At 42.6% G+C, this 27,764-nt stretch overlaps 1 protein-coding gene across 2 annotated transcripts in view, besides 1 other annotated feature; it reads right to left on the bottom strand.

The window, feature by feature from the left end:
* CLVS1 (clavesin 1) overlaps positions 1–27,764 on the bottom strand; it is a 536,782-nt gene that overhangs the window by 433,325 nt on the left and 75,693 nt on the right. Inside the window, exon 1 of one of the 2 annotated variants that reach the window (XM_017013141.2) lies at positions 11,075–11,147. The exons of the other annotated variant lie outside the window; for it this stretch is intronic. The gene's annotated coding sequence lies outside the window, so the exon portion shown is untranslated. Of the gene's footprint in view, positions 1–11,074; positions 11,148–27,764 lie in introns of those variants that run through there. 2 annotated transcript variants of the gene reach the window in all.
* Positions 15,889–16,411: an enhancer, noted in NCBI's record as "H3K4me1 hESC enhancer chr8:61964453-61964975 (GRCh37/hg19 assembly coordinates)". NCBI's record gives its function as "activates a minimal SCP1, AML or CMV promoter by ChIP-STARR-seq in naive H9 embryonic stem cells {active_cell/tissue: H9 hESC(naive)}" and the evidence as "EXISTENCE:reporter gene assay evidence [ECO:0000049][PMID:30033119]".

Genomic DNA, 27,764 nt, shown 5'->3' with positions numbered 1-27,764 from the left:
TGATTCTGAAGTGGTAGCTTTTTGATATGTGTATGTGTATGTATGTATATATATACATATATATATATATATATACACATACATACATATATATATATATATATACATATACACATATATATTCTTTTAATTGGAGACAGAGTCTCGCTCTGTCACCCAGGCTGGAGTGCAGTGGTGCAATCAGGGCTCAGTGCAGCCTCGATCTTCTGGGGTCAAGTAATCTTCCCGCATCAGCCTCCCTAGGAGCTAGCCACCACACCTGCTAATTTTTTTTAAAATTTTTTATAGAGACAAGGTCTCTCTCTCTCTCTCTCTCAATATCAAGTTTCGTTTTAGATTTAGGGGGTACATGTGCAGGTTTGTTCCCTGGGTATATGTGTGATGCTGAGGTTTGGGGTATGGTTGATCCCATCACCCAGGTAGTGAACATAGTACCCAATAGTTGGTTTTACAGCCCTTGACCCCCACTTTCCCTCCCCCTTCTAGTAGTCCCCAGTGTTTATTGCTGCTATCTTTATGTCTATAAGTACCCAAAGTTTAGCTTCCACTTATAAGGGAGAACATGTAGTATTTGGTTTTCTGTTCCTGTATTAATTCACTTAGGATATGGTCTCTCTATGTTGTCCAGGCTGGCCTTGAACTCCTGGCCTCAGGCAATCCTCCCACCTTGGCCTCCCAAAGCACTGGGATTAAAGGCATGAGCCTCTGTGCCAGGACCTGAAGTGTTAGCTTTTTAAAAAATAGTTTGAACTATTGTGGATTTTTTGCTTGTGCTCTCATAGCTATGGCTCGTACTTATAATTATATATTATTAATATATCATTATAATAATGATCATTATAATAATATATCAACTAATAATATATAATATATCCTTATAAGTATATATACTCACATATATAATTATATAATACAATTATATATGTACACACACATTATATATACACCCACATATATAATTTAGCAACCATTTATTTAATATATATTTGTCGAGCACACTCCATGTGCCAAGAACTACGTCAGAGACTGAAGAGACAAAAGTAGATGAAGTGTCTGCCATTATGGAATTAACAGTCTGATAATTAATACAAAAAGATATTCAAACTAATGTAAAATTACAATACAATTAGTGCTATAAAAATCAATGAGAAAGTGCAGTCAATACAGGTCAGGGTGTAGGAGAAATTATTTCATCCCCCCTCATGTCACAGATCAACGTGTTAATGTCCTTCTCGTGACCCATTCCTTTCAAGGTTGAACATCATTGCCCTCCCCCCCCATTTATGGCTCCTGACTCAGGACTGTGCACACAGCACGTGCTCAGTGTGTGTTTGATGACTAGACTGCAGTCATGGAATGCTCATCAGCCGTGTTAGTTATGACAGCCGTGTGTGGCACCAGCCTGGCTTTTGCAGAAAAACTACAGATGGACATGTATGGAAATAATGGAACACTCCCAACTTTCTGGCTAATTTGGCAGGAACAACACACAGATACCACTGCGTGGACACTTTCCCCTGAAATGTTGTGTGTCATTGACATTTTTCATTTTTAAAAAGCATGAATTGCGATGTTCTTCACATTACTGTACATTGAGAATGTGTACACTTGCTTCCCCTTGTTTTTCAGGGCAACCTCCGTTGACCCACAGGGGCATTCTGGAGAATGATGCTCATGCCCCAGGGACTGTGGAGTAGAAATGTATTGGGAGGAGGTGGGGTAGAGAAGGACACAGGTAGAGGAGCAAACGGAAAAGCCATTTTATAGCCATCAATCTAGGAACACTAGCACTTTTTCTTTTTTTCTTGAGACAGGGTCTTGCCCAGTCCCTCAAGCTGGAGTGCAGTGGTAAATCATAGCTCACTGCAGCCTCAACCTCCCCAGGCTCAAGCAATCCTCCCACCTCAGCCCTCCAAGTAGCTAGGACTACAGGCACACACCATCACACCTGGCTAATTTTAAAATTATTTCTGTAGACACAGGGTTTCACCATGTTGCCCGGGCTGGTCTCAAACTGCTGGGCTCAAGCAATCCACCTGCCTTGGCCTCCCAAAGTGTTGGGATTACAGGTGTGAGCCATCATGCCTGGCCACTAACACTTTTTAAAAAATATAATGAACACATGAACATATTCTCTTGGTAAACTCTGAAAACAATATAGATGATACAACACAAAGTTACCCTCCACTTTTACCCCCTTACGTCCTTCCCAACTGCACTGTGTAAATACACTCCTGATCTTCATACATATGTTTAGAAATATGTCCACATAAAAAAGACTGTTTTTATCATAAATGTGATCATGCTGTATGTTATGTTCCAGGTCTCACTTTTTACTTAACAATGTATTTTGAGGATTATTCCATGTCACAACATGCTATGTGTATTGATCTACTGCCTGGTATTTCATAATCTATTAATCATTTTTATACTGATGAATGTTTAAGTCATCTCCAATTTTACCAACAAAAAAGCTTTGCACTACACAACCCACAAATTTTTCACCAAAAGATACCAATCTAACTAGACTGCCTTATTTGCAATGTGTTCCACACCAAAGAATTTACTCCATATATTATACCCTTACTTAGCTTTCTGAGAAAGCTTGCCTATTGCTTCTTACAGCTGCAAAATAAAATATACTCTAGTTAAAATAAGACAAAAAACAAATTTTCTTAACTCATTTTGTTCAAGAGATTAAAAAAATAGGAGCAACATAATAGGATCAGTGATTCAGTGATGTCTCTTACTATACACAACTGAAAATGTGTCTGCTCCTTAGTTTCAACCCCTACTGCTCCTGACTCAATTCAGACTCCCTTCACCTTTTATGTGGGTTACAGCAGAAACCTTTATTTGTGCCCCTCTCAAATACATCCAGAGCAGTACAGTCGGCCCTCTGTATCCATAGGTACCACTTACATGGATTCAACCAAGCAAGCATCAAAAAATTCAGGGAAAAAAAAAGATGATTGTATCTGTACTGAACATACACAGACTTTTTTCTTGTCATTTTTCCCTAGAAAATACAATATAACAACTATTTACATTATCTAATACATTGTGTTAGGTATTATAAGGAATCTGGAAGTAATTTAAAGTATACGGGAGGACGTACATAGGTTAAATGCAAATACCACATCGTTTACATAAGGGACTTGAGCATCTGTGGATTTTAGTATCCTTGCGGGTGTCCTGGAACCAATTGCCCACAGATACTGAGGGACAACTGTATTTCTAAACTACAAATCTGATCAGCCTGATGGCAGGAACATATTAGTCCTTTAAAAAATGTTAGTAATGGCTGGGCGCAGTGGCTCATGCCTGTAATCCCAGCAATTTGGGAGGCCAAGGCGTGCGGATCACCTGAGGTCAGGAGTTCGAGACCAGCCTGGCCAACTTGGTGAAACCCTGTCTCTACTAAAAATATAAAAAATTAGCCAGGCGTGGTGGCGGGCACCTGTAGTCCCAGCTACTCGGGAGGCTGAGGCAAGAGAATGGTGTGAACCCGGGAGGCAGAGCTTGCAGTGAGCCAAGATCATGCCACTGTACTCCAGCCTGGGTGACAGAGAAAGACTCCATCTCAAAAAAAAAAAATTAGCTGGACGTGGTGGCAGGCACCTGTAATCCCAGCTACTCAGGAGGCTGAGGCAGAAGAATCGTTTGAACCCACAGGGCAGAGGTTGCAGTGAGCTGAGATCGTGCCCCTGCACTCCAGCCTGGGCAACAAGACTGAATCTCTGTCTCAAAAAAAAAAAAAAAAAAAATGGGCAAAGAACTTGAATAGACATTTCTCCAAAGAAGATACTCAGATAGCTGAGAAGCACATGGAAAGATGCTCAACAGCACTAGTCATTAGGAAAACGCAAATCAAAACCTCAATGAAATGCTACATCACACCACCAGGGCAACTAGAATCAAAATGTGTAGGCAAAGTTGTGAAGAAATTGGAATCCTCGTACTTCATTGTTGAAGCATAAAATGGTGCAGCGTCTGTGAAAAACAGTCTGTTGCTCAAAAAGTTAAATGTAGAATTACTATATGATCCAGCAATTCCACTCCTAGGTATATACCCAAAGAAATTGAAAGCAGGCACTCAAAAAGATATTTGTACACCATTATTCATAGCAGCATTGGTCCCAGTAATCAAAAGGCAGAAAAAATCCAAATGTCTGCCAAGAGGTGGATGGGTAAACAAAATGTGGTGTATCCATAGAATAGAATATCATGCACCTTAAAAACGAATGAAATTCTGACACATGCTACAACATGGTGAAACCTGAAGACATTATGTTAAGTTAAACTAGCCAGACACAAAAGGACAAATATTGTATAATTCCTCTTATATGAGATACCTAGAATAGGCAAATTCATAGAGACAGAAAGTAGAAGAGAGGATACCAGAGGCTGGGGAATGGAGAAATGAGGTTATTGGTTAATGGGTACAGAGTTCCTACTAGGGACAATGAAAAAGTTCTGAAAACATAGGGGGGATGATTGTGCGGCATTGTAAATAGAACTAATGCCACTGAGTTATAGACTTCAAATGGTTAAAATGGTAATTTTATGTTATGTATCTTATACAATTAAAAAGCTCAAAAAATAAAGCTTGAGAACGTTTTTAAATTATTGGTTATGAATGTTGGAATGAATGCTGCCTTTCTCCTTCAAACCCTTCAATGGCTCCATTTTCTCAGATCAAATCCCTCACCTCCACTAGGCTTTACCTGTACTGGGTCCTGCCGTATTCTCCTGTGTCCATCCTTCTTGAAGCCTGTGCCCCAGCCAGGCCAAACAGCTTGCAATGTTCCTGTCCTGTGTCGCTTCTAGATGTCTCTGCGCTTGACGTGCACAGGTCCCTGTCTCTGTAATGCTATTCTCAACACCACCCTCCAGCTGGAAAATACCTTCTCATGCACCTCAGCTTAGCCTCCTCCAGAGAACTTTTACCAACAGCCATTTCACCCCTCACCCCCCACCAGGAAAATGACTGTTCTCTCTCTCTCTCTATCTCTCTCTCTCTCTCTCTCTCTCTCTCTCTCTCGCTTCCTCACTTTCTCCTGTGTAGATCATTATCATGGCTAATATAACATTCAATGCACTCGTTTATTTATAGGTCTGTCTTCCTGTTCTGCACCAGGGGAGCGAGAGCAAAGCCTTTGTCTTACTTACGTAGCATGGTTTTAAGATCTCTGGCTCTAGTTGTGTGACCTTGAGCAAGATATTTAACCTTTTTTAGGCCTAAGTTTTATCTTTCAAACAATGGGAATAATAATAGTTTCGATGTCATAGTTATGAGGAATAAATGACATAATGCATATAAAGTGCTTTAGCAGAGAGTCTGATACACAATAAACAATAAAATATTTAAAGAAAGGAAATGCATAGCAATCACATAATAACATAGTATTGGGTAATTTCATAGTAACTAACAATTGTTCAGTGGTTAAGAGGGTTGAACATCTAAAGTCAGGAGTTTGTAAGAAGAATGAATAACCTAATCGCAGACATTTATTTAGAAAGACATATGGAGAAGCTGAATGACTGGAAGAAAGAACAACATAAGGGCACTTCTTTTGGCCCGTGGACCATAATGCAGTCAAAATGCTTCTAGAGACTTCACAACTTTCAAGTTTCTGCCGTAAACTCTACTCCATCCAGAACCAGCCAGATCCTGCCATAGACTTCCTTATCGCTCAATACCATAGTCCTCTCAGAAAATAAAACAAAAGCAAGCCCTCAATGAAAACAGGTAAGAAAGGCTTATTGCAATAGGCTTCAAGACCAAAGCAGTGGAGGATCTTCCTATTTTAAGGAACGTAGGGTGGTCTTCCTACTGACTGTAGAGAAACTCTGGAGTAAGTTTTCTATACTGACGTAGTTACATCAACATTTTGGCAAACTGCCTTTGCTCCTAGAGATTAAATCAGTAAGTAACCCTGTCTCTACGCCTGGCTTTGGGTGTAAATTCTTATTTTATGTGAGTAGACACTGGTTATTTCAAGGTGTGCAGCTGGCTTGTGCAGTAGACACACACTCATTATTTCTTAGAAGGCAAAACTCACTGCAGTGAACATTTCCAGTATCCTCCTGGTAACTGTACAGGATTTTCATGCAGTCACATTAAGCTGACTCCATGGAGTAGCATCCCAGGGGTGGAGTTTTGACCCAGGTCTAAGCCATCAGCAAGTCTCATTTCCCTGTCCAGTGATGTTCATAGTTCATACGTGACCTAGTCAGAAGCAACGAGGCACAATGACATTTTTTCACTGCATCTTTTGAAAAAGAAACTATGACCTAAAACATAAGATAATGAATGGGTTCACAGAGACCCTTCCAGTTTCCATAAAACTCAGGGATGAAATAAACATAATAGAAGGCAAAACAAAGAAATAAAGATAAAAATGCCCAGGTGCTACGGATATGCTGGAGCCCTGAATGGAGCTATACCTCAAGCTCGCCCTCCTCTTTTCAGCTTCTGTGAGTCAATAAATTCCTTTTTTGACTAAGCCAGTTTGGGTTGGGTTTTTCTGTAACTGCAACTAGATAATCCCCCTGGCATTTGTGAAAGCCACCCTTCCCAAACAGGAGCTCCACATTCTGATTCCGTAAAAAAGATAACCGGTTTATCTAGAGAACTCCCATGTGAGCGAATCAGGGCATATTCAAGAGGCTCAGTGTCTGGGTAAGGAAATCCCTCCTTTGGGGATGCCTGTGGTTCTTATTTCTGTGTGGGCCAGGAAACTCCTATAAATTTTACCTGTTGTCACATTTTCTTTTCAAACATTAGTGCTACTTCATGGGGAGGAGCCGGAAACAGAGGTGGAGAAGGGAAAGCATGAGGCAAAATATGAATGATTGTGCAGGAAGCAATACAGCTGATGGCCTGGTAGCAAAGGACTGGCATATGGGTACGTGCGGTGCGAATTCATGGCAGAGGAACTAATCAGGCAATGTTATCTGATCTGGAACAGCAAGAAAAAGAAAGAGCCTCTTTCCTTTACCCCTGGTTTGATATGGCTGAAACCTCTTACCAAGGTGTCAAGCTGGCATTGGAAGAATCCAATAAGAAACCGTGACTTCAGCTTGTGTAAAAGTCGGGAACTGGGTTCTAAATTGTTTGCCAGTGATCAGCTGTCACTTTGTGATCACTGTGAAGCTGGAGTTCTGTTTTATAAAATCCAGGACAGGTTCTGGATTGAAAACAAAAGCCAAACATGTTGATGCTTGAATATAAAGAGGCAGGGAGTGACACAGGTTCCTCTGAGTAACAGAGTCTGGTCATCAAGTCTGCAGCTGAGGAGGCTATAAAAACACAACCTGAGTGTGTGAAGTTATTTCTCCCATGAAAAGAAAACTCCTAAAGCAATACTCTGAATAGTCCAAGTCTGAAGCTGCTCCCATGAAAGGCAGCAGAGTTTGTAGGAATGGGGCTCAGATTTTGTTATCAGGCCTGGTTTCAAACCCTGCTTCCATCTCTAGCTGGCTCTGTGGCCTCGGGCACGTTTGTTAACCTATCTGGATCAGTTTTCTCATCTGTAAACCTCAATTTATTTCTTGAAAGAAGTAAATTAGTTGAATTATATGAAGTCTGGTAGAGTCCATGCCCCGATAATAACTCAAATAAATGGAAACTACATGATACCACTTAACCTGGAAAGACTAGTACTGAATATAAGGGGTGGGAAGGGGCGCTGTGGGCACTTAGACATTGAGACCTGTTCTCATTTCACAGGTTGAGGGGTTAAAGTGCAGTTCATGTTAATGTGATTTTCTGCAGAACATTAAGAGAAAAATACCAATTTAAAGCCAAATTTCTGCATTTTTTTCAGGTTCCTCTAAGCTCAACAAAATCCCTAAACTGCTGAATGATCAGCTCTGTAACTTCAGACTGGCTAGATATGAGCCAAAATCCAAAGATTTTCACTGGACCATCATTTCCTCAAGAGCAAAGGTTGGGTTTTATTCCTCTTTGCAGGCTGATTACATAGAACAGTACCTGATTGGGTGCTCAAGAAATGTTTATTTTATTCTATAGAAAAATGAATTCATCCTCAGGCCCACCTAAAGTCCTGCTGGAAAGTGCTCCAAGTAAGAAGGAAGGAGGAAGAAGGAATGTCTTTCTTGTTGTTATTAATTAGGGTAAGGACTAAGCTGCTAAGGACGAAAAAGACACTCCAAAACTTTTTTAAAAGATAGAGGATTATTCCTCTATCATGCTACAGCCCAAAGGTGAGTGATCCTACTGCCAAGGTCATTCCGGAATCGCCAGGGCACTGTCCTCACCAGCATGATCAAAGCTGTATCATTCACTTGAGGGCATGAAAGAGAGGTTAGAGAAGCACACACACTATTTCAAGGACTGAAGGCAGAAGTAGCATACTTCACATCTGCCCTTCTACTCACATTGTGTGAGTAAGAACTTGGTCACATGGGCATACCACTTGGCAAGGGAGGCTGCAGAATAAATATACGTTCACTATTTTTTTTTTTTGAGATGGAGTTCCGCTCTGTTGCCCTGGCTGGAGTGCCTTGGTGTGATCTCGGCTCACTGCAACCTCCGCCTCCCAGGTTCCAGTGATTCTCCTGCCTCAGCCTCCCGAGTAGCTGGGATCAGAGGCACACGTCACCACATCCGGCTAATTTTTTCTATTTTTAGTAGACATGGGGTTTCACCACATTGGCAGGCTGGTCTCAAACTCCTTACCTCAGGTGATCCACTTGCCTTGGCCTCCCAAAGTGCTGGGACACATTCACTATTAAGGGAATTAAGGACAAGCCTCGTGCTATTTTCAAGATATGTGTATATATATATATATATATATATATGTATGTATGTATGTATATGTGTGTGTATATATATATATGATATAGGTCTTGCATCCAGAATGTATAAAGAACACTCAACACTCAGGAATAAAAAAACCAAACATTCAAAAATAGTGGACAGATTTGAACTTATACCAAGAAAGACAGACAGATAACAAATAAGCATGTGAAAAGATACTCAGCATCATTCATCATTAGTCATTCTGGAAATGCAAGCTACTACAACACATCTACTAGAAGGACTGAAATTACAAAGACTGGTCACATCAATTTTTGGCTAAGGTATGGAGGAACTAGAACTCTCATATGTTGCTAATGTATGAATAAAAAAATGGCACAATCAAATAGAAAACAGTGGTCAGTTTCTCAAAAAGTTAAGTGTACAGCTGCTGTTTGACCCAGGCTTTCTACCCCTGGATATCTACCCAACAAAAAAGAAAGCACATGTCCACACAAAGTCTCAGACATGGATGTTCATTGAAGCTCTATTTGTAATATTAAAAGCTCAGAAACAGCTAAATGTCCATTGAAAGATGAGCAGATAAACAAACTGTATAATATCTATATAATAAAATATGACTCATTCATTAAAAGGAATGAACTTTTGAAACACACCAAGAACATGGATGAATCTCAGAATAATTACACCAACTGAAAGAAGCCAGGACAAAAAAAGAATATACACTATATAATTCCATTTATATCAAATTCTAGAAAATGCAGCTATTATAACAGAAAACAGATCAAAGAAGGGACAAGGCAAGGAGAGACAGAAGCAAAGGGGATCAGGATAGTACACGAGAAAACTGTTTGAAATGATGAATATATTCACTATCTTGACAGTAGTGATGATTGCATGGTAGTATGGCATATGTCAAAATTAGAAAACTGTACACTTTCCACATTTGTGGTGTATTGTATGTTAATTCCACCTCAATTTAAAAAGTACATGCCCTCCATTTTTATGGATAATGGGGAGAACAGATTTTGGTGGTCAGTCAGAAGTAACTTCCACATATGGTATCTTTTTGATATTTTGCTATTAAGTTTTGTGAAATTCTGGACCAGAAAAAGAGAGACCATAAAAGAAAGGTTCCTGTCAAGAAAGAGCATGATCTGTAGCTGTAGCCCCAGCTTCTGGCTCCTGTGCCTCTGAAACACCAGCCACGTCTCCATCTCTGGTCTTGATCCATGCAGTAAACACATCCTGTCCTGCACAATCCCATCAAACCCCCTCAATAATTTACACTGCCAACTGCCAATGACTTTGCACACCAGCCTCAGCCCTGCCTGCCAAAATGCACCTGTCATAAGCTCACCAGCAGGATGCCCCACTACAGTTCAGCCTGCTGAACAAGTTTCTAGCTAGGTCGACGCTTTGGTCATATACTATATGTCTAGCTAGGTTGTACACTTTGACTGACATTCTCAACAGAAAAGTTATTGTGTCTGTTTTCCATAGAAACTTTCTTAAAGCGCCTCCCCAGATTTATCATTAGCCTCAATGGGACCTTTTCTCCCAACACTCCTTCAAAAGACATTTTCGAGTCTAAGCCCTTTTGCAGCTGTCATGCTCCTTCCTTACAGCACAGCCCACGAGGTTGGGTGATGCTTTGGAATCTTTCTAGGTGAAAGGCTGAAATATATAAAGGCATCATAAAAGAACTCTAGAGGGCTTGAGCAGGATTATTCTAAGAATTTTATCCACCCACTTCAAGCAATTTCTTCTGTTGATCTTTAGGATTACGACTGAAACAGCCAAGGCTTTTGCTGATTTATCCCAGAATATCATCCTGGTTGCTGCACAGTTGTGCAGTATCACAAATGCAAAGGTTTTTTTTTTTCTTCTGACTGGCTCAGAGTGGGATACCAGAACTAAGTACAAAATAAGCCTATATAAGAATGAGAAGATTTAAGGATTATAATTGATTCTCATAAACTTAGCTCAGGAGAACTGGTGGAAGTGATTTTCATCTTCCTCCAACATGTACTCAGGCATGGCCTAAGAAACAGAGAGTACAAACCCACCCTTCATTTAGAGGCCAAATTTTCCTTGGATGGGGTGTGTGTGTGTGTGTGTGTGTGTGTGTGTGTGTGTGTGTGTGTGTGAAGTGTGCTAAGCTTAGCCAGGCTCAATCAATAGAAATTGTGCTAACTGGAGTAGATAGCTGTTTATGAATCAAGAAAATACATGAGAGAAGAGGTGAAGCATAGAAAATGCCAGAGGTTAGCTAAGTTGACTTACACTGGAACAATGAGACGTGGGCTGTCCTCTTGACTGAAGGCCTTACCTCTTGGGTTCTTGGAGCAGAACTAGCAAAAACAAACTGCAGAAAAGCCTTTTCTGCAGCCAGAATTCTTAGTAGGCAGTCATGTGGGGGTAATTGTGCCTTTGTCTGGCTCCTACTCCCCCCTCACCCTCAGACCCTCTGATTTCTGCCTGAATGGAAAGAACCGTTGCTGCAGTTGGGTCTTCGTGGAGTCTGTGGTGTGGGGGAGGAGAGGTAGCTCCACTAGCAGAGGCACCACCATTCTGACAAAGGCCCTGGCGCTTTACCTTTCCTTGAGCGGAGCAAAGCAGGAAGGAAGCCGGTAGGGATTGCTTGTCTAGCTGTCAGGCACTGTGCTCTGTGATTTCTCCTTCAATATCTAACTTAACCCTTCAAGGTCCCAAGAGATGGGAAGTGTTAATCTGATTTTGCACAGATTAAGGAATCAAGAAGAATAATTTAAGGAATAATTTAACCTGAGGAAGGTTAAATAAGTTGCCAGAACTTCACAGCTGCAATGTGGTGGGCTTGAGATTTGTGTCAACATCAGCCCAAGGAAAGGAGGTGATTCACAGGTGTGGAGAGAGCAGGGTGGTCTATGTGAAGTCTAATGTCCTGAATTATGAGTCAGGCACTCGCTGATATGAAGGTGTTAGAGAGAGGGAGAAAGAAAGAGAGAGTAATCATGATCTTGTTTGCCTCAGACCACTAGAACATTTTGGTGTGAAGCCTGTCACTTTCCAATGATTTACAAGAAAACAGGGTCAAATAGACTTCTTTTGCTATAGACTCCATGTAGCTTTTCTGAGATATTATTGGAGACCAAGATGTTAAGATGTTTACTTCCATTCTAGAAATCAATGAGATAAAAATAGAGAAGCAAAACTGAATAGCAAAAAAGGGGAAATTAACCAAATTTACTCCGTTTTTTGGGACCTACCCCAATTAGTATTTTTAAATACCTTTGGTGTAAGAACTTGGCCACTGTTGGAGTCAAAAGCCTCTTGACTATGGCCACAGGAGGCAGAAACTACTGCCTCTTTACCCAGACCCTGGGCACATGGCCAAATGATACTTCCCAACCTCCCTTACAGGGAGGTGTGACCATGGTCCAACGTCAGTCCTACACTGGTCAGTGTGAAATAAGCAGAGCTGATAAGTCTGCACCAATCCCAAGTGTGCACCATAAAGCCCTGTGTAGTCCTCATGAGCTTTTCTCCCCCCAGCCAACCAGAATGAGACTCCTGGAACTGTGCTGGGAGCCACATGTTAAGCGTGGTGGAGCCACGCATGTAAGGAGTCCAGGCCTCTGAACCATATCATGGAGGAGAGCTGCCCAGCCAGAATGACTGGCCTTGGAGAGTTACACGGGCAAGATACATGCTTTTAGTATGGAAAGCTGCTAGGATGTGAGGACTTTTCTATTGTAGTAGTTTACACTCCCTTGACCAATATACCAGAGGCTTGGTTCTGCTCACTTCATAGAGATCATGAGTCTAAAAACACAACAGCCAGAAGAACAAAACCACTCTCAACAGAAGGGAAGGCCTGTCTGCTTCTACGTCTCCACAATATTTCTCTCTTGCAATTTGTGTCCCATCTACAGAAAATATGGAAAGGGCTTGGGAAACATTTGCTTTATGTGATTTAGAAAGGAGAATTCAATTATGGCACCAAGAATATACCTCACTGAAGGGTAAATTCATGAAGTAGAATATTCCTTTTCAGACTGATTATGGGGAAGACCAAAGTAAATTAGCAAAAAGGGTGAATGATACGGTTTTTATGTAGTTTTATTGCAGTAAATTAAAAATAGGCTAAACAACCACGGCCTGCCAGAAATCTTGGAAGACCTGCTTTTGTGACTATAGAAGATTGATGTGTACCTGGCTTATTTGGGTGCAACGTGACATTTTAAAGTGCTTGAGGGTGTTTAAGACGGTTTTTCTCTTAAACACTTTAAATTCACCCTTCCTACAAATATGTTTAGTCTAGTAATATGCACTATCTGTAATTATCTGAGCAGCAAGTAAATTTCGTTTTAGCTTCTGTCAAATGCTACAAATTCAAACTGTGTGGCACTTCATTTAATGAAGTTTTTTGAGTTGGTATCATTTCTATTCCATGATGAGAGTAAACTATATGATTGGAAGGAAGTCTCAACCACAGTTAGATAATGAAAGGGTTGGTGTGAAACATATGTCTTCTCCAACAACAAAAGAAACCCTGAAATAGAAGCAAGCAATGAGGTAATGATTTTGGACAAAAGGGATTTATACCAAGTCCTTTGGTGCATAGATATTCCAAGGCTCTATGAGGCCTTGATTGGTTTATTCAGTGTGGGTAGCTAGAAATGATCACTGGAGCATATTTTATCCTTATCGGTGTGCAGGGTGAGAAGCTCAGAGCTCTTCCCATGGGTGACTCATGCATTTATTTGCCCAGGTATAGGAGAGAGATGAGGAAGCCTGAATAACCTGTTTATCTGCACGTGGACCCAAAGAATAGTACAAAGTACTTTCCTTTTTAACACACCGAGAAGACACCCAAAGGTGGCAGACTGGATTTCTAAAGCCAAAAGCCAGCACGAATGGGCCTGTGCACCAAGTATCTTTAAGACGCTGCCATTTGTGTGTGGCTGGCCCTTTAAATAACAGCTCCAGGCCAGAGAAACATCATCTGGCAGGATTAGTCAGTTTGTTTTAGCAACCGCTTCCCCTACCCTGGTCTCCCATTACTTGGTCTGCTTTCCCCAGATGCTGACCCTGTCACCCTCCAAGCCTGCAGCAGTTCCCTGCTTGGCTGTCATAAGGTCCTGGGGAACTCCCAGTACTGATCCCTGGCAGCCCACAGGATGCCACCTCTTGGGTCACGGGTGGAATCTGATATCCTCACCCAGCTTCTCTGGTCGCAACCCTACCTTGCCCCAGATTCCAGGCCTGCGTCAGAGGCTGCTGCAGGAGGAGATAGGGAGCTGACCCTGTTTGGTCGTGCCCAGGGCGGCAGCTTTCCCCAGGCAATTGCGGCAGCTAAAAATAGTCCTGAATCCAGGGGTTGCTCCGTAAGGTTTCATGTAGGAGGCTGCACTCCCACTATTGAGGAAGCGCCTCCCACTATTGAGCAGCTGGCGTCAGAGAAATCTCCTTCAATTGGCTAGGACATTTTGGATGAAAGAGAGAGGAGATTGATTCAAACCAGCTTCAAGTAGAGAATTTATTGTCTAGGAAATGAAATATGGAAGTCCAAGAGAGCAGCAGGCCTTGGGCAGGACTGGAGCCAGAATAGCCTCAAATGCTATTGTCAGGGATCTTTCTCTCTCCAAGGAATGGTGAGTCCACCCGACAGGTAGGATGTCTGCTAGTGGCCAAGATTTGCATCCTAACACTTAGCAACTCCAGAGAAAGGAGCCAATATTTCCTGACAGCTCCAGGACGGAATGTTCAAAGAGAACCCTAATTGGCCCAGCCTGGGCCACATGCTTATCTCTAAACCAATATCACTGTGTCCAGAGAGAATTCTAATTGGCCCAGCTTGAGCCACATGTCCCGTCTCTGAACCAATCTCTGTGACCAGGGGAGGAGCTCCCTGTAAGCCAGACCTGGGCCACATGCTCATCTCTGTTGCTAAAGCTAGGGGCCAGGATCCTCAGTCCAATAAATGAATTTTCCATGCAGAAAATGGGGCTTAACAATAGCCCCCACTTTGCTATGCCCAACTGTCGTTTTAGACCTTATCATAGTTGACATGGATAACCACTCCCTCCTCCTTGAAACACTACATCTACCTTGCAGCACACAGCATTGGTTTTCCTCTTATCTGGGCCTTTCGTTCCCAGCTTTCTCTCCTCTTCCTCACTCCAACCTCCTCATGCTGGAGGCCCCAGTGCTCAGCCTTTGACGTCTCTCTCTTCTAGCCTCTACCTGCACTCCAGTGGTAATCTCATTGCATCCTGCAACCTTAAATACCATCTACTTGCTGTGGGCACCCAAATTATACTGTCCTGTCATGCACTGCAGACTCCACCCCTCCATTTAGTGACCTACAGGTGTCTGAAATGAACACATTCAGCCCTGAGCTCCTGGTCGACCCCACTCCTTGCCATTAAACATAGCTCCTTTCCTGCAGTTGCTCAGGCCAAGAATCTCAAAAACATACTTGTCTCCACTCTTTCTCTGACATGCCACATCCAGGCCATCAGTAAATCACGTCAATCCACGTTTACATCTAGAGTCCAGCCATTTCTTACCACCTCCACCATCACCAACCTGGGCCAAGTCGTGTAATGTCTCATCTGTGTGATCACAGCCGCCTCCCAGCCAGGCACCCTTCAGTGCCCTGGTCCTCTTTTGGTGTTCTCTCATGTCAACGGTCTGAATGAACCTGTCAGCATGGCCAGAGAATGACTTCCTCTTGTCAAAGCCCTGAAGTGGCCCTCAACTCACTCAGAGGGAAACTCTCACAGCAGCCCTCAGAGCCCCACGCCACCTGCTCTTGGCCACCCATCCCCATTATTTCTCCAGAGTGATCTCCTAGCCTGCCCCTCCCTCAGCTCAGGTCACATGGGCTTCCTGGTCAGCCCTCTTGCTCACCAGCACGATTATACCTCAGGGCATTTGCATGTGCCATTCCCTCTGCCTATAGTCCTCTTTTCCCAGATCTCGGCATGACTCCCTCCCTAGTCCTCTTTTCCCAGATCTCGGCATGACTCCCTCCCTGGGTCTTTCAGATTGTCACTTAAATTTCCCTTTCAGTGAGGCCCCCTCTGATTTCCCTGTCTAACCCTGCAAACCCCATCCTCAATCTGGGGATTCCTGTCGCCCTTCATGGTTTTATTTTTTCCCATCCTAGTGGGTACTTTCTACTACACATATTCATTTTATTTTAAACATCGTTTTACTTATTTAGTTAGTTAGGTTTTCAAAATGTTTTAGCTTATTTATTTTGGTCCTCTTCTATTTCCCCAGCACTGGGTGCCACAGGGGGAGGTGGAGTTGTTATGTGTTCAATGCTATAACCTCCACACCTAAGGATAGCTTGCAATGACTGATGAATGAATTAAACGGAGTGGCTTTCTCAGTCTTCCAATCTGTCTCCCACGGGGTGCGGTGACCTCAATCCCCCTTGCCCATCCCAGCCTCTGAGTCCCCCTCACTGATGGTTCCCCAGGCAGGGACCAGGAGGCAACACAGGGTCACAGCCCAGGCCAAGGCCATGGCCGGATGGCACAGTCCAGCCAGCAAAGGTGAGGTCAGACTCCAGAGGGTGGACAGGAGGCCTGGGCAACAGGAAAAATGTGGGTGGGATATCACATTCTGGGAGTGGGATGGGGCCCAGCGTGGGTGGCTGGGCAGGGCCCAGCAGTGGGGATGGCCTGGCAGCTGCAGTTGGGGGGCACTCCATGGCCACTGTCCTCAGTTGGGCCAGCACGGCCAGATGCCAGGTCCAAGCAGGGCAAATGAGGGAACAGAAAACATGAGACTCACTGAGGTCAAAATGGATGGGAACCAAGAAAGACACCCAGTCAGCTCAGCCACAGAGGCAGGCAAACTGCTGCCCCTTCCAGACAGGGCTGGCATGAGCTCTTTGCGGATGTGGGGCTTTCCCTGCAGGCCAGTGGCTCTCCATGCCTTTCGTTTGGCAGGCTGTGCCTCTGTGGGCGGGACCCCAACAACTGGTTCTGACAAGCCCAGGAGGGCATCCTCCCCTGGCCTGACACACATCCCCAAGGGGAACCTGGTGCAGAATGCAGCCGGTGCCTCCCCCAGGTACAGCCAGGCTCCCAGCTTAGAGGGGACCCCATTTTCCCAACTCCCCTACACCCGAAGCAATTTTTCTAGCTTTATAAAATTTAGAGGTGCCTTAGCAACCCTCAAGTCCAATGTCCTCCTTTTATCTGTCAGAAACCTGAGGCCCAGAGGGTTGAGTGGGTTGCCCAAACCTCCCAGCTGGCAACAGCCATGCAGGGTAGATGCTCAGCTTAGAGCTCTTTGCACAGCACCATGCTGTGGAAGTAGCTTCCATTTCAGAGTTGGCTCATCACAGACCAGGCCTGGGTGCTTTACCTGGGAATTAGAGCTCTCTAATGTTCTAGGAATCTGCAACGTGACAGGTGAGATAATGAAGCCATGCTGCAGAGGAGCCTGTTTATTTCACCCCTTGCTCTTGTCTCTGCTCCCCATTTCATGATGGGATCAGAGGAGGTCACTCCTCAGTCGGATGGAAATCTCTGCCCTCCCAAGCTGCTCACTTGCTCTAAGCTCATTATCTGACTGGCTCATACTTTCCCAGGGGTGGCAGGGAAGAGGAAAGGTAATTAAGTGTTTTGCTTAAATGGCCTTTTCAGTTGACAGAAATAGCTGCCCAGAGATACGGTGGCTCTCCTTCCCAATTCTCTCCCTGCCACCGCTGGGCTGCAGGCCACAGACAGGTGCCAAAGGCGAGGAAGGAAACCAATGACGAAGCTAAGGCCAGATGGATGAGTGGCTGCTGCCCTCTCCCAGGTAATCTCAAAAGTGGATCATCTGTAGGCAGATAAAAGGGAAGAGTGAAATGTCCCTCCCTGAGGACCCTCTGTGTGCCCAGGTCAGCCCTCTCTATGCATGGAGACTGCCTGATACGTGTGTGCACATGGGCCCTGGGCTGCTGGTGGCCGAGGGACCAGAGACAAGAGCCAGGGCTTTCTTCCTGCCTTGTGTGACTCTCTGTTGGCCCAGCACACTGTGTCCTAGTCAAATCATTGGTGATGTTTAATGTCCTTTTCCAGCCCAGAGCACTCACTGCTGCTAGAGAATGCAGTGTTTGAGAGAAATGATACTACCACATAGAGTCCTCGTAGATTGGGGGACAAAGTGGGAGATGCAAGCAAAGCACAAGGGTGCATCTCCCCCAGACAGAAAGAATGAAGAGATGAGTCAACAACCTCCTCAGACAAGCAGGCAAAATATGCATTTCCACATATCGAAGAATTTGGATGCAAATGGCATCATTATAAAAACATACAAGGAGGTAGGGAAAGGAAGGATGAACACAGTAAAAAAAATTAAAGACATGAATGGGAATTTTTGAGATTGGAAGCCACTGATGAGGCTGTAAAAGGGTGCTTAAATCAGACTCCAAAGAGTTAAGTCCAGTCTTAGCTAACAGCACCTGCTGTAAGTCCAGTGCGCATTCAGCAGTATTGTGTTAAAGACAATAGCAGCCTTATTACAACAGAGAGCACCGTATACATTAGTGCCCACACAATGTCACCTGTCTGTGAATTCAGCAGAATTTTGTTCACAGAATAATACAGGATTGCCATTGTTGCAGCTTAGAACTATACATTCATTAATAGAAACACAGTTTCAGCGCCGCTTCTATGCACACTAAGTCCTAAAAAAAAGACTCATTATGGAATGTGGCCCCAAAGCCAGTAATGGCGGTCATTATGAGAATGTGCATGAAAACCAAAGGATCTATAATTATTTTTACATTTTTCCTAGTATCATCAGTGATCCTTTAAATTGTACACCTTTCTTGGTGTAATCATGTGTCTTTGCGGCCTCTATCTATGTGTCTTTGGGGCTTCTATCTAAAATTTCACTGCAAATTTAAAAATTGCAGAAGATAGTCCCAGTAGAAAGTTTTTTGACTACCATTTTGTTTCCAACTGGACCTCAGATTGTGGTAAAGGTGACTTTCCTATCGTTTAATGATATACTAAATTTAACCAAATCAAATTGATGAAGTTCTTCATAATTTATCATTGGAACAAACACCCTAAATGCATTCTCTCTGTATATTGGTTGAGACAGTTTGAACTGGCCACCAAAACTGGAGAAAGGGAGATAAATTGATATATGCAAGAAAATTCAATGGAGAAAAAAATGATTTGGTCAGACTTGTGTTTATTGCTATAGAGATCCCTAATCTTGCCCATGTCCAGTTCTCCCCTCTTCTTGTGGGCGGGCCATGTGACAAGCTCCAGCCTGTGAAATGGCAGTGAGAGGGCCATGATTGTTTCTGGACTGTTGTAGAAAAGTGTGTGCCACTGTAACCCCATCTCTTCCCTTCCTATAATGTCCTTGTGAAAATTCAGCAGGCTATACATTACAGTTTACTTTCAGTGTATGCATTATGCTTAAATAAAATATGCAAAAGTAAGAGGTGTCCCTGAATAAATTTTGTCCTCTAAGGAACCCTTCAGTCCTCAAAATTCTGGACCCTTCTGGTGGCTCCATTCACCAGGGTATTTAATTTTTTATGGGATGATTTAAAGAATGCCTACTCTCCAGGACAGAGGACCAAAGGAAAAAGGATATCAGAGCCTCAGTCAAAGATTCAGGTGCATAGGATTGATGGAGGGAGTGCCTTACAGAAAAAAACAGTGAGGGAGGGGAAGAGGGAAGGATGGCAGGGGAGGGGAGAGAGCAGGGCAAGGCTGCTGTCTCAGGTAGAGTCTAGCCTTGTCCTGGTCCATGGTGGGAGGTTGGGGGAGCTCCATAGCATAAACAGAACTGCAGAGTGATCTTCTCCACCACTACCACCACTGCTTGATGCAAAAGGTCCTGCCTTCTATACCTCTATATCAGTTGGTCATTGCCTCTGGACCCTCCTAACCTGGAGAGACAGCTTGAATTTGCTGGGCAAAGCTGCTCCCATCAGCTGAGGGAAATTTGGGGGAGAAGGAAAGACTTGCTAGCTGTTAGCTACTGGCACACACAGCATCTGGGGCATTCAGCCCAGGAAAGTGGATTCAAGTGGTACCTGCTGCAACCCACCCTTTGCCTGTTAATTTCCACTTTCTCCTCACACTGAGTTCACTCCATGCAGGCATGGCTTCTGCGGGATTCTGTGTCATGATTCTTAAGGAGCTTACAAGAGCACTGTCAGTGAGATGAACTTCAGCTCCTTGCTGCAGTTGGTCCAAGGCCATCACTGATAGTTACCATGCCCTGCTCTGCCACACATTATAGATTCCCTTCACTCTTGGTCAGCACCTCTGTAGTTCTAGGTGACTTTCGTGCAGGATCTGAGCCCTTGTTACCTTTCTTGACCAACTATGTTTACTGTATTTGTCCAACTGCAATTTAAACTGAGCCTAGGAGCACCAAGAACCACCACAGAGGTGCATCAAAACCCCAAACATGCGCCTCCCTTTTCCTGTGTGTAGCAGCAGTCCAACTGCCTCATGATGATCAGGATCAATTGTTCCTCTAATATAGTACATTTTTCTTCTTTGTGTGTGTCATTAATGGATGATGAATTTTTTTTATTTTATTATTATTATACTTTAAGTTTTAGGGTATATGTGCACAATGTGCAAGTTAGTTACATATGTATACATGTGCCATGCTGGTGTGCTGCACCCATTAACTCGTCATTTAGCATTAGGTATATCTCCTAATGCTATCCCTCCCCGCTCCCCGCAACCCACAACAGTCCCCAGAGTGTGATGTTCCCCTTCCTGTGTCCATGTGTTCTCATTGTTCAATTCCCACCTATGAGTGAGAACATGCGGTGTTTGGTTTTTTGTCCTTGTGATGGTATACTGAGAATGATGATTTCCAATTTCATCCATGTCCCTACAAAGGACATGAACTCATCATTTTTTATGGCTGCATAGTATTCCATGGTGTATATGTGCCCCTTTTTCTTAATCCAGTCTATCATTGTTGGACATTTGGGTTGGTTCCAAGTCTTTGCTATTGTGAATAGTGCCGCAATAAACATACATGTGCATGTGTCTTTATAGTCCTTTGGGTATATACCCAGTAATGGGATGGCTGGGTCAAATGGTATTTCTAGTTTTAGATCCCTGAGGAATCGCCACACTGACTTCCACAATGGTTGAACTAGTTTACAGTTCCACAAACAGTGTAAAATTGTTCCTATTTCTCCACATCCTCTCCAGCAACTGTTGTTTCCTGACTTTTTAATGGTCGCCATTCTAACTGTTGTGAGATGGTATCTCATTGTGGTTTTGATTTGCATTTCTCTGATGGCCAGTGATGGTGAGCATTTTTTCATGTGTTTTTTGGCTGCATAAATGTCTTCTTTTGAGAAGTGTCTGTTCATGTCCTTCGCCCACTTTTCGATGGGGTTGTTTGTTTTTTTCTTGTAAATTTGTCAAAAACTGGAAGCATTCCCTTTGAAAACTGGCGCAAGACAGGGATGCCCTCTCTCACCACTCCTATTCAACATAGTGTTGGAAGTTCTGGCCAGGGCAATTAGGCAGGAGAAGGAAATAAAGGGTATTCAATTAGGAAAAGAGGAAGTCAAATTGCCCCTGTTTGCAGATGACGTGATTGTATATCTAGAAAACCCCATTGTCTCAGCCCAAAATCTCCTTAAGCTGATAAGCAACTTCAGCAAAGTCTCAGGATACAAAATCAATGTACAAAAATCACAAGCATTCTTATACACCAATAACAGACAAACAGAGAGCCAAATCATGAGTGAACTCCCATTCACAATTGCTTCAAAGAGAATAAAATACCTAGGAATCCAACTTACAAGGGACGTGAAGGACCTCTTCAAGGAGAACTGCAGACCACTGCTCAATGAAATAAAAGAGGATACAAACAAATGGAAGAACATTCCATGCTCATGGGTAGGAAGAATCAATATCGTGAAAATGGCCATACTGCCCAAGGTAATTTATAGATTCAATGACATCCCCATCAAGCTACCAATGACTTTCTTCACAGAATTTGAAAAAACTACTTTAAAGTTCGTATGGAACCAAAAAAGAGCCTGCATCACTAAGTCAATCCTAAGCCAAAAGAACAAAGCTGGAGGCATCACACTACCTGACTTCAAACTATACTACAAGGCTACAGTAACCAAAACAGCATGGTACTGGTACCAAAACAGAGATATAGATCAATGGAACAGAACAGAGGCCTCAGAAATAATGCCGCATATCTACAACTATCAGATCTTTGACAAACCTGAGAAAAACAAGCAATGGGGAAAGGATTCCCTATTTAATAAATGGTGCTGGGAAAACTGGCTAGCCATATGTAGAAAGCTGAAACTGGATCCCTTCCTTACACCTTATACAAAAATCAATTCAAGATGGATTAAAGACTTAAACATTAGACCTAAAACCATAAAAACCCTAGAAGAAAACCTAGGCATTACCATTCAGGACATAGGCATGGGCAAGGACTTCATGTCTAAAACACCAAAAGCAATGGCAACAAAAGCCAAAATTAACAAATGGGATCTAATTAAACTAAAGAGCTTCTGCACAGCAAAAGAAACTACCATCAGAGTGTACAGGCAACCTACAAAATGGGAGAAAATTTTCTCAACCTACTCATCTGACAAAGGGCTAATATCCAGAATCTATAGTACATTTCTCTATGCCTGGTTGTCTATTAGCGTAAAAAGACCAAAGTGGCCAGAGGCACAGCCATGTCTTTACATTCCCTAGGACCCTGACTATGTTCTTTCATGGAAGCAGCCACCTCCAAGAACCAGGTTACCTAAAATTGTGTGGGTGGAATATACGAATTTCCTCAGTCAGTCATGATGACAGAAATGATGAACAAAGCCACTTCTACTTCCTGGAACCATGTTTTCTACGTCTAGGTATATTAGCTACAATGGCATTAGTTCTAAAAGTTTACTGCATTCTAAAGTAGTCCCTCATCCACTTGGGGTGCCGTACTCAAGAAGGTGATTCAACTGCTTCTTTAGGAGGCTTTTCCACTATTCTTTCAGGTTGGCAACTTCTAAATGGTGTGGCATGGGGTAGAATAGGTAGATCCCATGGTTGTCTGCACACTGCCACACTTCCTTTGCCATAAAGTTTGTCTTCAGTCCAAAGAGATGTTATAGGTGATCCCTTGTCAGTGAAGCAGACACTCTGTGGGCCCTTGGATAATGAGATGGTCAAGGTCTTGTGGGCAGGAAAGATAAAGCCATATCCAGAATATGTCTCAGTCTCAGTGAGTGAATCACTATTCTAACCAGGGTGAGAAGAGGCTTCTGGAATAAATTTGCCACATACATCTTGCTGATCAGCTTCAGGATCTTAGCTTTTTTGAGCTTACAAATCTGATGTTTAGCAGCAGCAGTAGTTTAATCAGCCCTGGTGAGAGGAAGTTCTTGCTGCTGGGCTCATGCATAGCCTCTGTTTCTGCCTTCATGATGGCTCCACTCATGAGCCCATTGATCATGCCCTGGGGAAGCCAAGGACAGAGGCTGGCATCCACTGGCCAATCCATCCCATCTGTTTGGTTGTTTGTACTTTTGCTGCAGTGGCTCTTGTTGTGCATTTACATGCAATCCAAAGATCACACTTTAGGACCACTCCCATAGGTCTGTCCACATAACTCTTCTCCAAAATTTTTTGTTCCTCTTTTTCTATGCCCCTTAAAAATGAGTTGAGTCACTTCCCCAGAACCCATGCATATTCTTACCTAATCCTCTTCTCTTTCTATACAAAGTTGATGGCCAGAGGCAGTACTGGTGTGAGACTCTACCGATTGAAGGATTTTGCACCCCAATGTCTTTCAAGACCACAAGAGGGGCTATAGTGCAGCAATAGTCCATTTTCAGCTCATGTCAATATGCTCAGCTATTGTGTGCCAAGCTTGGTTTTTCTCCTCCTTCAACTGGTCTCATAAGAAGTCCCCTATGTGGCAATAGGTGTGAGATGAGGGAAAGACATCAGTGCAAAGTAGTAGATCATGTGGAGGTCTGGGCCACCTGTTCATGTAGCTTATTTGTATCCTCTGGACCTGCTCAAGCCCAATCCAGGATGTGCCACTTTCATTTTACAACAGATTGTTGCTGGGCCTGCCTGACCTCATATCTTGGTGGGGCTGATTATACCCAGTTCATGATTGGCATGTGGTCAATTGATATTACGTGTTTGGATGTTCTGTCTCTACAAGTGCCCAATAGCATGTCAAGAAATATTTTTCACGTGGCATACAGCACTCTGCCGCAGATAGTGTGACCCTGCCCCAGAACCACAGGTTCTATGCTGTAACTCCTTTGGGGGCTTTCCAGAGCTGTTACTCAACATCCCATTCTACCCAGATACCTCTAGGACCATGGCATCTGCTGGATCATATAGTCTAAACAGCAGAAATACCTGTAATATAAGGAATTTTCTTGCTTCAGGTCCAACTCCAAAGTAGCATCCTTCCATGTCACTTGATAAATGAATCAGAAATATTCTCAAGTACAGAATATACTGCCTTCAAAACCCAAAAAGAGCTAACAATTATGCATCTTTCTGAGTAGAAGTGGCTGCAAAGTATTCATTTATTCCTTACTTTCTTCCTTACTAAGAATAAGGTACTTGTTACTTACTTTAGAGGGCCTGCTGACATGCCCCAGACCCCTGGACCACCTATAACCTTCCCTAATGTAGCAGACCCCTGAATTTTTGGCAAGTTTACCTCCCACTCTCTGAAGAATTTATCTTACTAAGGCATCTAGAGTACCTATCATTAGTGGAACAATGTTCTGCAGAATGCCCAGTCAATCCAGGTCCTTTCAGGCTATCTTGTGACAGAGAGCAGAATCAACATATACCTGGGACTAGATCATTACTGTGTACTGTTGTCCATCCCAGTTAAATGCTAATTTCTTCTGTTCTTCCTACCTTATGGGAAAGAATGCATTTGCCAGATCAATAACTGCATCCCCCATACTTGAGGCTGTGATAATCTGCCCTAGTAAAGAGAGCCCATCTGACAAAGCAGCTGTAATTGGAGCCATTACTTGGTTGTTTGTAATAGTTCATTGTCATCTGCTATGATCCATCTGGTTTTGTCAGAACCAGACTGATGATTAAGATAAAAGCCACTACCTCTGCGTCATGTGTCAGTTAGTGTAGCACTTAGCCTCTGCCATTCTTTCCAGGATACCATGCTGCTTTTGATTAACTACCCTGATATGGGAAGGCAGTTTCAGGAGCCTCCATTTGGCTTTTCCTATGACAATAGCTTTTACTCCAAGGTCAGGAAGAAATATGAGGATTCTGCCAAGGTAAGTATGTTCTTACCTAGTATGTATTCAGGAATTTGGGAAGTGACCATCTGTTGGTCTGCGGACCTGGGAGACCCACCATCTCATGATGGCTCAGGGCCATGGCTCCATTGATTACTTGCCCCATAAAGCCCTCCTCTAACAGGGACATGATGATGGTGCTTTGGGTTGGGAGGAATCAACATCAACTCAGACCTATAACCAACAGCTTTTGAACAAGCTGGACATAACCTATTCCCAAGGGTTACCCAAGTAAACACCCATATGTGCCTTTAAAGGAGAACTGAGGAATTCCTACAGTATACATTTGCCTCAGTGTTGCAGAATCCTTCCTTACTGGGACTTGACCCTCAACTAATGGGCTCCACGTCTGAGAACTGGTTCATGTTTGGAATTTAGGCAACAGATCATGAGTTTCCACTGGGACCTTCCCTTCTATTCTCTTCTTCATTCTTGTTCCCTTCCAATGCCATATTTATAAAGTAATAACCTATAATGGCTGCTATAGCTGTAAGGATGAAAAAGATACAGTCCCTGACCTCCTGAAAATTTTTTCTGCCACCTTGTTATGATCTGAATGTTTCTATCTCCCCAGAATTCATATGATGAAATCCCCCAATGTGATAGTATTGGGAGGTGGGCAATAACAGAGTGAAAAGACACTGTCTACTAACCAAAGAGTGGGCCCTCACCAGATACCAAATCTGCCTTGTTCTTGAACTTCCCAGGCTCCAAAATTGTGAGAAACAAATTTCACATACATTGTTTATAAGCCACCTAGTTCCTGATAATTTGTTTTCACGGCCTGAATGGACTAAGAAGGTCTTCTCCTGATGACTTCCTCTTAACGTCACAGGCTGAAATACAAGAATATGAAGATAGAGAATATTGTGGATTCTCAGGGGCTAACATATTTGAAAGCAAAATTGACAACAATAATAATGGTTAATATTGAGGAATTACCATGTATTCTAAATGCTTTACCCAAATTATTTTATTTAATCCTCATGACCTTATGAGAGAGTTCTCCTCATTTTGTGGATGAGAAAACTCATTCTTAGAGAAGTGGCCAAAGTTTGAATTGCCTCCTTAAGGTTATTTATGACCAAAAAAATTAGGAAGCAATCAACAGCAAGAAAGGGATTCAAGCTGGTTGGAGCTTTGACCAGAGGAGGTCCAAGTTAACAAAACTCTTAATTTGCAGAGTACCCATCAAGAAATTTTTTTTCTCGTATAATTCAATGACAGGGGGTTCAAAACTCAAGAGATTAAGTTTCCGCAGCCCAGTATGGATGACAGAGTCAGACCTTCTCTCAAAAAACAAAAAACAGGAAGTCCTATCCAGGCAAGAGAAAGAAATACAAGGTATCCAAATAGAAAAAGAAGTCAAATCATCTCTCTTCACTAATGATATGATTCTCTACCTAGAAAACCCTAAAGACTCTGCCAAAATGCTCCTAGACCTGATAAATGACTTCAGTAAAGTGTCAGGATACAAAATCAATGCACAAAAATGGGCAGCATTTCTAATATATGTGCTGCCGAAGCGAGCACAGAGTAGCATTTATATACACTGATAACATTCAAGCAGAGAGCCAAATCAGGAATGCAATCCCACTTACAATAGCCACACACAAAAATAAAATATCCAGGAATACAGCTAACCAAGGAGGTAAAAGATCTCTACAAGAACTACAAAACACTGCTGAAAGAAATCAGCGATGACATAAACAAATGGGAAAACATTCCATGATCATGGATTGGAAGAATTAATATTATTAAAATGGTCATACTGCTCAAAACAATGTATAGATTCAACATTATTCCTATCAAGATACTAACACCATTTTTCACAGTATTAGAAAAGAAACTATTCTAATATTCATTTGGAACCAAAAAAAAAGCCTGAATAACCAAGGCAATCCTAAGCAACATAGCTGGAGGCATTACATTGTCTGACTTGAAATTATACTATAAGGCTACAATAACCAAAACAGCATGGTACTGGTACAAAAACAGACATATAGACCAATGGAACAAAACAGATAACCCAGAAATAAAGTAATACACCTACACCAAATGATCTTTAACAAAGTTGACAAAAATATGCAATAAGAAAAGGACTCCATATTCAATAAATAGTGCTGAGATAGCTGGCTAGCCATATGCAAAAGAATGAAACTGAACCCCTACCTTTCACCATATACAAAAATTAACTCAAGATGGATTAAAGATTTAAATTTAAGACCTCAAATTACAAAACCCATAGAAAAAAAAAACTAGGAAATACCATTCTGGAAGTCAGCTTTGGCAAAGAATTTATGACCAAGTCCTCAAGAGCAATTGCAACAACAAAAAATATTGACAAGTGGGACTTAATTAAACTAAACAGCTTTTGCACGGTGAAAGAAACTATCAACAGAGTAAGCAGATAACCCAGAGAATGGGAGAAAATATTTTCAAACTCTGCATGCAACAAAGGTCTAATATCCACAATCTGTGTGGAACTCAAAACAACTCAACAAGATAACCCCACTGAAAAGTAAGCAAAGGACATGAACCAACACTTCTCAAAAGAAGACATACAAGAGGCCAACAAACATATGAAAAAAATGCTCATCATCACTAATTGTCAGAGAAATGCAAATCAAAGCCACAATGAGATACCATCTC

Source organism: Homo sapiens, chromosome 8, assembly GCF_000001405.40.
Source record: "Homo sapiens chromosome 8, GRCh38.p14 Primary Assembly".
Classification (NCBI taxonomy): Eukaryota; Metazoa; Chordata; class Mammalia; order Primates; family Hominidae; genus Homo; species Homo sapiens.
Note: the sequence above shows the minus strand (reverse complement) of the source record. Positions and strands in the feature narration are given on the sequence as shown.